General features: G+C 47.2%; 1 protein-coding gene across 22 annotated transcripts in view; it reads right to left on the reverse strand.

Annotated features, from left to right (window-relative positions):
- Nucleotides 1-13436, reverse strand: part of TTC23 (tetratricopeptide repeat domain 23) — a 114903-nt gene that overhangs the window by 27394 nt on the left and 74073 nt on the right. For all 22 annotated transcript variants that reach the window (NR_109947.3, XR_007064487.1, NM_001288616.3 and 19 more), the window contains one exon: nt 11334-11439. Coding sequence is in view for 20 of the 22 variants with exons in the window: in NM_001288616.3 (NP_001275545.1) it covers nt 11334-11439 (106 nt within the window). In the remaining 2 variants the exon portion in view is untranslated. The remainder of the gene's footprint in view (nt 1-11333; nt 11440-13436) is intronic.

Here is a 13436-nt window from a genome sequence, read left to right on the forward strand (position 1 = left end):
AATGGGATTAGTGTCCTTATAAAATACACCATCAGAGAGTTTCCTCACTCCTTCCACCCTGTGAGGACACAGTGAAAAGATAGCTGTCTATGAACCAGGAAGCAGGTCAGGCACCAAATCTACCAGAGCCTTGATCTGGGACTTTCCAGACTTCAGAACTGTGAGAAATACACTTCTGTGGTTTATAAGCCACTTAGTCTATGGTGTTTTGTTACAGCTTCCCAAACACTAAGACAGCCAGGAATCTCTAAAATGAAGATAAGAACAATTGCACTGGTTCCAGGTGTGGAATTAAGGGTGTCTATCCAGAGGTTCTGACTAGAAAAAGAATACCTGAAATAAGCATATATGTAGTCTGAATGTGTACCACCTACTTGGTCTGGAAATCCTGAACCAAGAAACCAGCACAGAAACTAGTCTGAAACTGGAAAAATCACAGGGCTCTAGCACAGGGGTTGGCAAACTTATTCTGTAAAGGACAGGATGGTAAATATTTTAGGCTTTGCAGGCTGTATGATCTCCATTGTTGCTATTCAACTCTGCTGTTGTAGCATGAAAGCAGCCGTAGACAATACATAAATGAATGAGCATAACCATGTTCCAATAAAACTTTATTTACAAAAACAGGTGGTGAGCAAATTTGGCCCATGTGCATAAGTTTGCTGCCCCTACCCTACAAGAGGAAAATGCGAAGGCTTCCTCCCCAAAGAGACATGGGACTCCCACAGAAGCACCTGTTGAAGATAGCTTCAGGGTGACACATGACAAGCACATAAAGTCTGTTGGGGAAGATCATGACCCGTATATACAGTGGTCTACTTGACATTTCCACTTGGAAATATCATATTTATTATGGAGCACTGTACAAACCATTATCTTTTGCTTTTAGAAATTTCCTCAATATTTGGTTATTCCCTTCTATCATTTCTAGTTTTGCATTTGTACTTCCTCTCTGTTTTCTTGATTAGGCCAGCTAGTGTTTTATCTGTTTCATTATCTTTTCCAATGAATTGATTTGGATTTATTTTTCTCATTCTGTGACGGTAATGCCAGGTGCTTCCCAAGTGGCCTCCATGATCTTCAGGTACAGCTCTCTAGAACACACGAGGATCAAAAATCCAATCAGCCCCTGTAAAGTGTGCTGCTTCTTGGAGGCAGCAGGGTGAATGGGAAAGAGAGCAGGCTCTGGGCTTGCATTATCTAGGCCCAGATTCTGGCTCTGCCCCTTACAGCTGTGTGCCTTGCTGTGTTCCCCATCTGGAAAAGGGGACCATTATATTAATAACTCCCTTATAAGGAGGTATAAGGAGTAAACAGATTAATGCATATGAATAAATGATAACAGGACTGACATACAGTTGGTGCTCAATAAATGTTGATGATTTTAATTTTAGGGACAGTTTTGATAATTGTGGCTATGGGTCCCCATACTAGGCTGAAATAGCAGGCACACTGGAAGCAACAAGTGACAGAAATGGACATTGAGAGGACAGAAATGGACATTGAGAGGACAGAAACATGAAAACACACAGAGCAATCAAAAGACACAGAAGTCTAGCATCCTTTGCAGATAAACAGCCCTGTACACCTCAAGAGCTCTGAGAACATGCCTGAAATTCACAATGAGAATCCTGGGTCTTAAGAAATGATCTAATTACATTCCATAGGATCTGTGTTAGAAAGGAGAGACGTAAACACTTTGGAAATATGTCTACCAAATCTAGTCAACCTAAAGAAAGCTTAGGTCTGAAACAAGTTATGTTCATCTGCATGATTTACTCCATGTAGATTCCAGGCAGTTGCCAGACAGGAGCAGGAATTGCACTCAGTGCCAGCTGGCCCTGGGGTCTGCAGTGAGGCAGAAATCAATTGAACTGGATTCTTGTAACCCTCTCTTTCAATGGGGCCTGTCCCCAGCCAGACCAGCAGATGCATTTCTGGAGCACTCCTCAGAAGGTTTTGTCTTGGTGGGAGAAAATCTACCACATGGAAAATGTTACCTCTCTTCCTCATAGCTGCCCATGCGAGAAAACGTTGCAGATTTAATGTGCAAACTGAGTATTAACTTTGGCTACTTTGATAATCTAATGTCAGCAAATGTTGAGGATGAAGTGGCATTAATTTTATTGATTATAAAAGCATTACAGAGATGAACATTCATGTCTAAAATGAATGAAGATAGTCAGGAGTGGAGTACTCTTTCGTTATTTTAATTTTCTGGCTGATTGGGAGTCAACTGAAGAACGTAGCTGAGCAATTCTTTTTAAAAGTAAAGGTCTTTCCGCATCTCAGCCTTGTCCCTAACGATGGGCCCTTATTGTGCTTGCGGTGAAGACCTGCAGATGTATAAGGCATGGGGCAATTCGTGCACTGAGTTTCAGACTCCGGGCTTTGGCTGAAGCAGCACTGCCATGCTCAGGGAAAGGCAGAGGCCAAAAGGGCTAGGGGGCATTTCCCTGCCCTCTCCTGGGGTAGGAGCCGATCTCCCTGGCACGGGTGGACACAGCCGCACCTCACATCTTTCTAGTCCTCTTCTTTGTAATGTTCTCCCACCTCCCAGGATTCCTTCCCCTAACTGCCCCGAAAAGCACCCTGTTTGGGCTGGTCCTCTCAACCCGAGAATGGCATGCTCCTTTCCCTCAGTGCAGCTCAGCTCACAGAGAAGCTTTGAGGGAGGATGCTGCAGGGTTCAGTTCCAACTAATGTGCAGACGGCTCCTAACCTCAGACTTACGGACGCCCAGTCATATTTTCCAAAGAGGATGCTTGTCAGTGTACGTGGACCTCCGGAAGAGGGAACGGGTGTGAGGGAGGAAGGAAGGGAGGAGAGTGCGGAAGGAGTGTATTCCTTACATGAAGGCAACGCGGCTATCAAAGTGACAGAAGGCCAGGCGTTGTGGTGGGCAGACGGAGATGGGCCCTGCCTGGGAATCTGCCTTCTGGGGGCAGCCTCCTCAAGTCGCTGCTCTCTTTCTTCCTTTAAGTCCCTGGCTTCTCTAAGGTTTTGTGCTTTTCCCATTTTTGTTCCTGGTAGGTCTCTAGTCACAGGGGGATAAGGCCAGATAGAGGGTTCCCAGACGGATGTTGTCACATGTAAGCCAGCCACACATCAGGCATCTGTGAACTCAGGTTAGGACCCCTGTATATTAGAATGGCCTAGAGCTTAGGAACAGAGGAAGGTCTAGTGTGTCCACGTGTGCACCTTCCCTGTCTATAGATTTCAAACCACTTTTATCTTTATCTAGGATACAAGAAAGCTCCTTTATTGCAAGATCCTGACTTATTTCCCCCAACCCCCTCACCTCCAAATTAACTTTGAGAACTAAATCCACATGAGCAGCCTTTGACGGGAGGGCAAATTGAGTCCTATTACTACAGCAAAGGGGTCACTTCCTGAGAAGCAGTTTATTCTCCTGGCAATGGACATCCCAGTCTATCTCCACCTGGGACAAGTGACAACAGGATTTCCAGAAGGACAGGAAGTCATAGCCCCTTCAAGTGGCTGCTGCCTCCCGGCCTGAACCTTGTGCCCTGAAACAGGGTGTAGGTTCACAAAGAGCCAGCAGTTTCAGCACTCTCACACAAGGCCACCCCTACCTTTGAAAACCACTTCTAGAATCCTCTGCAATCTGATGCCGAAGGCCTGGGCAGAAGCTGAGGTCATTTTCTAAAACACAGGAGCATGACTTAGCTTGTAAATCTGAGCCCTAATGGCACAGGTGTTCCAAGGCCACGAATCTTCTATTTTCACTCTAACAGAATGTTTAGGTTGTCTGTGAGTTAGAGCAGGGAGAAGGTGTGGCTCGGTGAGCAGGGTGGTTTGATGTCTCTCCAGACGGCTCTGTTTGAGGACTTGGAGCCATGTCATTCCAAAAGACCCTGAAAGATTCTGTGTAGAGATGTACGTATACAGGCAAAAGAAAACAAGGCTTCATCCCAAGAGCAAGAGGAATGCAGGACTGCAATGTGGCCCACTGGAGGGGAGGTCAGGAGGCTTTTAATTAAAATAAATTCCAGTAACCCTGCGTTCATTTTCCTGTGGCTGTCCTAAGGCAGGAGTTGGAACAGTAAGGACAGCTTTCATTAAGAGGGAGGCCTCTCTACAATGTGACGATTGTCTTTTGTAGCAGTCTTAGGAAATAGTCCCTACTCTGTACCAACCGCAAAGGACCCCAGGGAGTTTAAAAATGGAAAGTCCCAAATCATAGCCTGGCGCTAACCTGGAGGAGCTCCCTCACCCAGGAAACACATTGAAGCTACTTAGACCCTGCTGGGGGCTGCTGTTCGAGTCTGCTAGCTTGTGGAGGCCACACGGGAAGCCTGAGAACACATAAAGCCCGGAAGAGACTCCTTCCTCACCCCAGAGCCTTCAGTGGTCCTCACAGGAGACCCTCTTCATGAGGAACACTTTCACAGTGCCATAGACAGGGGCCTGTGACATGGCTTCAGGGAGTGGCAGGGCTGCTACTCACTAGCTGTGTGATACAAGGAAGTCCGTGGCCATCTCTAGGGACAGGTGTGCATCCATAAAGTGAAGTGATCCAATGGCAGCAGACAAGGTGAGGCTCGCAAGGTATAAATATGCAGAGTGCCCACACAGGGCCTGGTCGCCATTGGGATCTGCCTGCCTTAAGTGTCCTCACCACCAGGAAAGTGACCAGCCCCCCTCCATGACCACAACTTGGGGCCACCATGTAGTGAAGGCTTCCAGCAACCTCAAGTTCCTGTTACTTGTCTTGGTGATGTAGATGCGTTTTCCATAAGCTGCCTTAAAAATCCTTTTTGAAGCCAAGTCGGGGTGTAAGTTACATAGGCTTCTCTAAGAAGTTCTGAACGCAAATTACAAACCAGCTCAGAAGTGAAAAACCCGAACCTCATGAACGTGGTCATCATGCTGCTCATGCACTTCAGCCTCCCCAGGAAAGAAATGAAGACAGGCTTTGCTCTCAGACACAATGAAGGGACAGCAGTTGGTGAGTAAGCTTGATGAGGTTTCAGCTCTGCCCCAGCTAGAGGGGTCAACGCACAAACTTGGGTGGGGAACAGGCCTCCTCTCCTCCTCCTCCACTGGCCCCAAGGGCTGCCAACCCCTGCAGCCCCTACCTGCCTCTCCTTTAGGGCTGCTCAGAGCCCTGCACCCTCAGCAGCGTGGGGTGGGGATGGGACAACTCCCTCTCTGGGTCTGGAGTGTGGTAAGTGGGTAGCACCTGGGTTCCATTCTAGGCCTTGCTTGGCCTCTAACTTGCTGAGTGACCCTGGACCCTAATCCCCTAGATGTGACTACTCTAGGGTGACTTCCAGAAGTTTCTGAGAAGGGATCCTCCTAATGCTGGTGAAAACAGAGTATGGGGCATCTCTTTCCTTCTCTGGGCCTCAGCCTCACTCCACTGCACCCTCACTTCCCCTTTCTCCCTCACTCCCTGTGGGGCACAGAGCAGGGATGGATGCCACATGTGCTGCTTGGGGAGCTCAAAGGCAAGGCCAAACTCAGGCTGGTTGGGCATTTTGTAAAAACAAATGGGCCCTGAGAAGGGACAGAGGAAGGCTCTCTCAGAGCGCACAGGGGCCCAGGGCAGTGGGAAGTCTGAAGGGAGACAGGCAACTGGGGCGTGGCCAGCCATGGCTTACTCTCACTTGACTGTACCACCAGGCCCCACTTGGAAGCTGAGGTTGGAGGCATCATGAGAGAGGTAGCAGGGACAGCTAAGAAGGGCATGGGAAGGTAAAGGACACCTCACTGTGGCTATTCCCAGGTGTCCATGTCACCTGTCAGGGGCCCACAAGACCTAGGGCCTGTGTACACCAGGGGTGCCTGATTTCTGGTCTCTCTGGAACACACGGGGCCCAAGGAGCATCAGTAACCCAGTGAGCAGGGAGTGGGGAGGGCCCAGCACTGGGCAAGCTGAAAAGGCAGGCCACAGGGGGAAGAGTTGAGAAAAGGGAGGGTCGTGTAAGGTAAAAAAGAGGAGACCTGGGTGAGATGCAGTGACTAGCTTCCGATACTGACATTTTTCCAGTCTACTGTGTAAAATGTGGCTAGAGGCTAGGACCAGTGGGGGCGGGGGAGATATACATATTCGTGCATAGGAAATTTTATCTTAGGAATCCACTTAGTCAGCCCCTGCTCCCTAAACTCTAACCAGACAGAGCCCATTCCATCTGCTGTCACTGAACGCTGCAGAACTCCCCGGCCTGCAAGAGCCCAGGCCGCAGATGGGGCTACTTCCAAACAAGGCCGCCTGCACTCAGCAGGCTCTGCCCTCTCAAAGGCTGAAATGTTCTTGGCTTTGAACCATTTCATTTTAATATTCTTTAGGAGATGAGTTATAAACACAAAGCCAATGCCCTGAACACTTAGCAGGGCTGGGAAAGCTGTGAATACCAAGTTTGTCTATGCTCCTCTGGGAAGCTGGCCAGGCTCAGGTTAGTGACATTCCAGGAGCCTGAATTGGGAATCTTTGTGCAATCACAAGCCTTCGTGACTTCTTGGGCAGTTTTGTCTGCATAAGGAATACAGGGAAGGCACAGAGCAAAGGGATCAGCTTGTGCGTCGAGACTGAAACACTTGCTTCTTGGCCAGTGGCGTTTTGTTAGAGGGCAATGCCTTCAATGGGCATTTCGCACGCAAGCAGGCAGGCTACAGAGAATCCTCAAGGGAGAAATTTTTCTCATTAATAATTATTTTCTTCAAAAATCAAAACCAAAACCAACTCCCCAAAAGTCTTTGTACCCCGTACAAACAGGTTTAAGCACAGGAGAGCAGAGCTAAGATTCCCCCTTGGTGCTGGGTGGAATGTGCAGATTTGCTCCTGGGATCCAGCCAGGACTTCTGAATTAGAAGTGACCAACGTCCAGGTCAGAAAGTCCTATGCTGTTGAGAGCTGTGAGGGATTTGGTTGCCCCTTAGTTGTTACACAAAGATACGTTGCAAATTGCCCTCTCTTATTTCTCCCTGGTGGAGGCAGCAGAGGCCTGGAGAAACCTAGGCCGCAGTAGATTTCTTTCATTCCTGCTGTGGGGGCATTGGCCACGTGAGGGGACAGCAGAGAGGTGACATAAAAGACACTGGGAATGTACCCACCTGTGCTCCTGCTGCAGCCCCTGGCTGGGTGGTGCCTGTTGCATTTCTGCTTCTAGAGGGAAGCTGATTCCCCACACGTGCAACACGTGCTGGCCTGGGGAGCTCTTTTCCAGCCTTTCCCACATCTGCCACTGTGGGCACAAGGATTTCAATGGCAGCAGTTTTTAAACTATGTTCATGGGGTAGGAATAGTTTGAGGGTTCTTCTTGCTTTTATTGTTCCTGATGTGCCCATTTAGGTGATTCGTTTGAGGCCTTAGGGGCAAAGGTTTGTGCTCCTTTTTGCACCTGTTCCAGGACTTCACGGTGCTGCAGGACACTCAGCATTTGTTTCCAGCCACTGCTTCTCTGCTCTGGCTCTTCGCTTAGCATTGACTCACCTTTAAGGCCTCAGTAAGCTTTCTTCCTAATAGCATCAGGATGATAAACAGTTCAAGTGTCTTCTGGTTGATAGGTGCTGAATCTGACAAGGGCCTGCCTAGGAGCACCATACAGACTGATGGGGACTTGGTCCTTTTGGGGTAGAACAACGAGTAGAGACAGTAGGTCCTTCAGATTCATGGTACTTTCTGGTATGAAGAGGTGGCAGTATGAACTCATCTGTAAAATGGGAGGTCCTGTCCTGCCTCCGAGGGTTGTTAAAAGGATTCAATGAGCATGTCTGTGGAAGTACCAGCACCTGTATACAAGAGGTGCCCAAGTGCTGCTGCTATGGTTGTTACTGTCACTATTATGATTCTTGCTTGCTCCTGAGTCTCTCCGTCTTTTTTTTTTTTTTTTTTTTTTGAGACTGAGTCTCGCTCTGTCGCCAGGCTGTAGTGCAGTGGTACAATCTCGGCTCACGGCAACCTCTGCCTCCAGGGTTCAAGTGATTCTCATGCCTCAGCCTCCCGAGTAGCTGGGACTACAGGTGCGCAACACAACACCCAGCTAATTTTTTGTATTTTTAGTAGAGATGGGGTTTCACCATGTTGGCCAGGATGGTTTGATGGTCTCTATCTCTTGACCTCGTGATCCACCCACCTCGGCCTCCCAAAGTGCTGGGATTACAGGTGTGAGCCACTGGGCCCGGCCTCTCAGTCGTCTTTTGCTTCTGCTTCAAGCAACCAATCCTCCAGGCCTAATGCAGAAGTCACCCCCTTTCCCAATTTGTAAAACTATCAGTCCCAACTCCTTGTGCCTGGGAGAAGTTGTCTTCTTACCCATCTACTTTATGTTTCTCACATTTTTTTTTTTTTTGGAGACAGAGTATTGCTGTGTTGCCCAGGCTGGAGTGCAGTGGCACAATCTTGGCTCACTGTAACCTTTGCCTCCCAGGTTCAAGTGACTCTCATGCCTCAGCCTCCCAAGTAGCTGGGACTACAGGCGCGCACCACCACACCTGGCTAATTTTTGTATTTTCAGTAGAGACGGGGTTTCATTATGCTGGCCAGGCTGGTCTCGAACTCCTGACCTCATGTGATCCACCCATCTTGGCCTCCCAAAGTGGCTCCTCACATATTTCAATTCTGACTGGCAAGTGGGCTTTCTGAGTGCATGTCACCGAATGCCCTCAGCTGCTGCAGGTTGGAGCTGAGATTCTCCGCATGCTCCTGGGCCCCAGGCCTTCCCATTGGCACTCCAAACCCTTTTCTCTGGGCTGCCTTCATTCTTCCTGTGTCCCTTGTCTGCCCACAGATTCTTTTGGTGGGCCTAAGGTGGGAGGAGACATGTGAAGTGCCAGACCCTATAACATGACATGGCATAAAGAGCCTCTGGGGTGGTTGGCTGCCTGGGTTCATATCTTTACCACTCACTGGTTATGGGCCCTTGGAAAAATTACCTAATCTCTGGGTGCCTCAACTTCTCCATCCAACAAATGGGGATAAATGTACCTATCTCATCGAGTTGCAAGGATTTCTGAATTAATAAATGTAGTGTGGTGAGAACCATTGCTGGTATGCCATATATAAGCGGTAGCTATTAATATTATAACTGTGTGAGGTCATTTAATTATCACACATTTATCATCTGTATCAAGTAGGTATTATTATCATTTTCAATTTAAGAGAAGGCAATAGAGTGCTATATTTAGACTGGAAAACTTTTTAAAAATATATAACTAAAATTGGATTGCCTCTGATTCCAAAAGTCATGCAAAGCAGAGTGGCCTAACTTCACAGCTATGGGACAATAGCATTCTAGGGCACAGATTCACTAGGTCCCACTCAATTCATACCTGCAGTGAGTACACTGAGCACTGGGTCAAGTGCTGGAAACCAGAATCCCTCTAGGCAAAAAGATGGTCTTTTGGCCTTAGCCTCCTCTCTGTTTGGTTTGGTATTCATTCAGGAATGGACCCACCTCCCCTTACTCTGCCAGTTTACGCCCCCAAGGAAAACAGGAAAGATCTGACAGCAACCTGTCACTCTTGCTTTCCAGGTCAAAAGTCACGGATCCAGCCTTCGCACTTGTTTTGACTCACTCAGAGCCTTAAACATATTTCAGTTAGTTACCATCAGTTAAAAATTGGGCTGGGTCTGTGGTGGCTCATGCCTGTTATCCCAGAGTTTTGGGAAGCCAAGATGGGAGGGTAGCCTAGGGCCAGGAGTTCAAGACCATCCTTGGCAAGACTCTGTCTTTAAAAAAGAATTTTTTAAATTAGCTGGGTGCAAGCAGTGTGTGCCTGTAGTCCCACCTACTTCGCAGGCTGAGGCAGGAAGACCACTTGAGCCCAGGAGTCTGAGGCTGCAGTGGGCTATAATTGCGCCACTGCATTCCAGCCTGGGTGACAGAGTGAGACCCTGTCTCTAAAAAAATAAAAAATAATTAAAAAAAAATTGAAGATTCTCCAATAAAACTCCAAATTTCCACCTTCTCTTAAAAAAGGAGCTCTGCCAATATAAGCCTCCCTTCCACATGGCTGCCAGGGCTGGAGCTTAAGTAGCAGGTATGGGTTTTAGTTTGCCACAATCCTCACCACTCTGTTTCGTCTCTCTCATACTACAGCCATCAGTTAGCTGCCATTTATAACTATGCTTGCTGCTGCTGCTGGTTTCTGATAACCACCTGCTTCACTCACATTGCTTGCTTGGTTCCTGTAGACATTTAGATTTGTGACTTGCTATTCTAGGAGTTTCCATCAAACATGTATTTTAAGTGTTTTATTAATAGGTATGGAATAGAAAGTACTTTCCTCCTATTACATGAATTTTAGGCACCAACAAGCAAACCTGATGGTTAGTGTGGAATGTTCTAGGGAGCAGGGACAAGAAAGGTCACCTGTCTCCTCTCTCCATCCTTACACAGGCTCCTCCAGATCTAAAAAGGTGCTTCAAGCTCTAGTAGGCCAGAATGAGAGATCTGCAAGGTGTGATGGACAGATGGATAAATGCCGATGCCCCCTTCATCAGTTCCTCTGTGGACCGAAGCTCCCTGCCTGGCCCATGGATCTTTTCAGACCAGGCTGCTCATTGAAGCTTTCCCTTCACCTTCTCCCATGTGCTGGCCTCATTTTAGCCTGACTTCTACTTCCTGAATCAACCCCATGCCTTCCAGATGTTGATTTTATGCTTTTGAGCACAGTGGACCTTATTTTATTCAGTATGTAATTATTTTTATCTGATATCTTGGAATACACCCCTAGGTCTTCTTTATGAATTGTACTCCATTTCTGAATATTATGACCAAAAAAAAAAAAAAATCATTAGTACTATGTGTTTTCTGCCAACGGAGGCACATTGTATGCTCTGTACGTGGATTAAATAATTCCTGAAGCTTGATGCTCTACCTATTACGCGGGGATAAGAAAAACCCTAAGAAAAAGCCATAAATGGCAACTTCCTTTTGGAATCCTGAAGCCGTGTAAGTTCATCCTGATGGAAAGTTCAGCCCTGACAGTGCCTGGAGGCCGGCTGGCCCAGAGGCCAGAGCTGTTGCCACAACAATCTTTAAAAATAGATCACCTTTGAAAGCAGAGCAGATTTACCGTAAGCCCAGTACAGATGCTCTGGGGCTCTTAACAGCTAACATTTGGATAGAGATTGGCTGTATTTAAGAATAAAAGACTAGAAGAAGGCTAGAAGAAGGGGAGAGAAACCAAAGGACTCAGAGGAAAGCAGCAGAGTAGCATAGGGGCAGATGATCAGATAAAACAAGGAAGGCTCTGTGGCGGGCCTGTGTCGCGGCTCTGTCCACCTGTTAACCCATCTAGAAGGCAGCTCGTTTATAGACCCAGATGCCTGTGAGACAGGAAGAGAAAAGGATTCTTCTCACCATGGTGCTCGTGTCTCCCTGAAGCGACAGCAGCATGGGCGACGATGTGTGCCGAGTCTGCTGCCTCCACTTGAGAGGGGCTTCTACTCAGGATGATAAGATGTGCCTGTCACCACAGAAAGAAGAAACATGTTGTTTACATACTTGGCAGCAGCAGCAGGGAATTAACTGTCCTTGCAGAGATAAGCAGAAAGCCAAGGAACTTTCCAGCAAGCTAGAAGAAATGATTTATGTGGAAGTGAAATCAACTCGCAGGAAAGCTGGATTTTAAAAGGTCTGAGTGGTGGAGGGAACACTGGACAATGAATCCAGATGGCTCAATGCTATGGCCAGGGCCTGTCACTAAGCAAATCATTAAACGTCTATGATCCTTTGAGTCCAGTGTCAGCAAAGGAAGGGGAGTTACAAGAAGTAAAGAGATGAATAGAAGGTGTCGATGCTGTGCAGACAGTGGGCAAGCCCAGTGCCCTGCCTACCCGCCAGCCCCAAAAGTGGGACCTACCGGTGGGTGTCAGCAGTCTCCCCACAGATATACAGACCCCTCCTTTGTGCCTGTGCCACCAAGCCCATTTGCCTGCACCCTCTACAAACTTGCTCAGGGGAGCTGCCCAAGCACAGAAAGCAGCTCAGTTCCTTGAAAATAAAGTCCACTAAAATGTTGTTGCCCAGGCGCGGTGGCTCATGTCTGTAATCCCAGCACTTTGGGAGGCCAAGGCAGGTGGATCACTTGAGGTCAGGAGTTCAAGACCAGCCTGGCCAACATGGTGAAACCTCATCTCTAATAAAAATATAAAAATTAGCCGGGTATGGTGGTGCACGCCTATAGTCCCAGCTATTTGGAAGGCTGAGGCACGAGAACAGCTTGAACCTGGGAGGTGGAGGTTGCAGTGGGCCGAGATTGCACCACTGCACTCTAGCCTGGGTGACAGAGACTCTGTCTCAAAAAATAAAAGTTTTTAAACAACAAACAAAAAACTATGATCTTCTGAACATAAAATCACAATAGTCCTTTCAAATAACATGCAAAATACCTGCTTTCAAATAAAAAGTAACTACTCAACTCCCTGTCAGCATTTGGAGTTTTAAAATACTATTAGTAACATGTTTACATTCATTCACACTTAGGATTGCCTACTATAGGAGAGGCATGGGCTAGAAAGTGTGTGCAGTACAAAAAATAAAATACGGTGAAGTAAGATAATACACTAATGTGAGTCAGTAGGTAGGTAGTTCACAATTAATTGCCAAAAGAGTGACAGAATACTAAAATGCCATGAGTAGGCCAGGCATGGTGGCTCACAACTGTACTCCCAGCAGTTTGGGGGACTGAGGCTGGAGATTGCTAGAGCTCAGGAGTTCAAGATGAGCCTGGGCAACATGGTGAAACCCTGTCTCTACAACAAATACAAAAATTAGCCGGGCATGGTGGCATATGCCTGCAGTCCCAGCTACTCGGGAGGGCTAAAGCGGGTGAATTGCTTTGAGCCCGGGAGGTTGAGGCTGCAATGAGTTATGATTATGCCACTGCACTTCAGCCTGGGTGACAGAGCAAGACCCTGTCATACACAAATACACACAAAAAGATAAAAAAGGAAAACACTAGATTGGGATAGGCAAAACACACTAGCAATTCATAAGATGTAAGCTGCACTTTAATTCTTTTTTATTTGTGATACCAATTTTAATTTTCTTGATAATTGTTATCTTCATTTTATACATGAGAAAACTAAGATTGCTGAATGGGTGATTATGATATCTCACAGCTAATAAGAGATAGAGATAAGAGTCTGACCCTGATCCTCTAACTTCAAATTCTGCTATCTCTATCATGTCCTGAGTGCTGCCATTCCCCCCACCCTAGCCAGTGGTGGGAGACATCACTAATTGATGCCAGCACACTCCTCAGGGAACCCTAATTCAGTCCTCAGGAGCTGTGATTCATCTATGGCAGCTGGCACAGGAGATCAAGTCATCCCAGTTGAGCATTCTAGTCTGGACCATGCAGTACTTCCTCCTCTTATGACCAGCCGAATGCATTTCTGAGACTATAATCAGAGCGGAGATAGAATCTTTGACTCTAGACTGTCACCTTACTTGTCACAT

This window comes from Homo sapiens, chromosome 15, assembly GCF_000001405.40.
Source record: "Homo sapiens chromosome 15, GRCh38.p14 Primary Assembly".
Taxonomy (NCBI): Eukaryota; Metazoa; Chordata; class Mammalia; order Primates; family Hominidae; genus Homo; species Homo sapiens.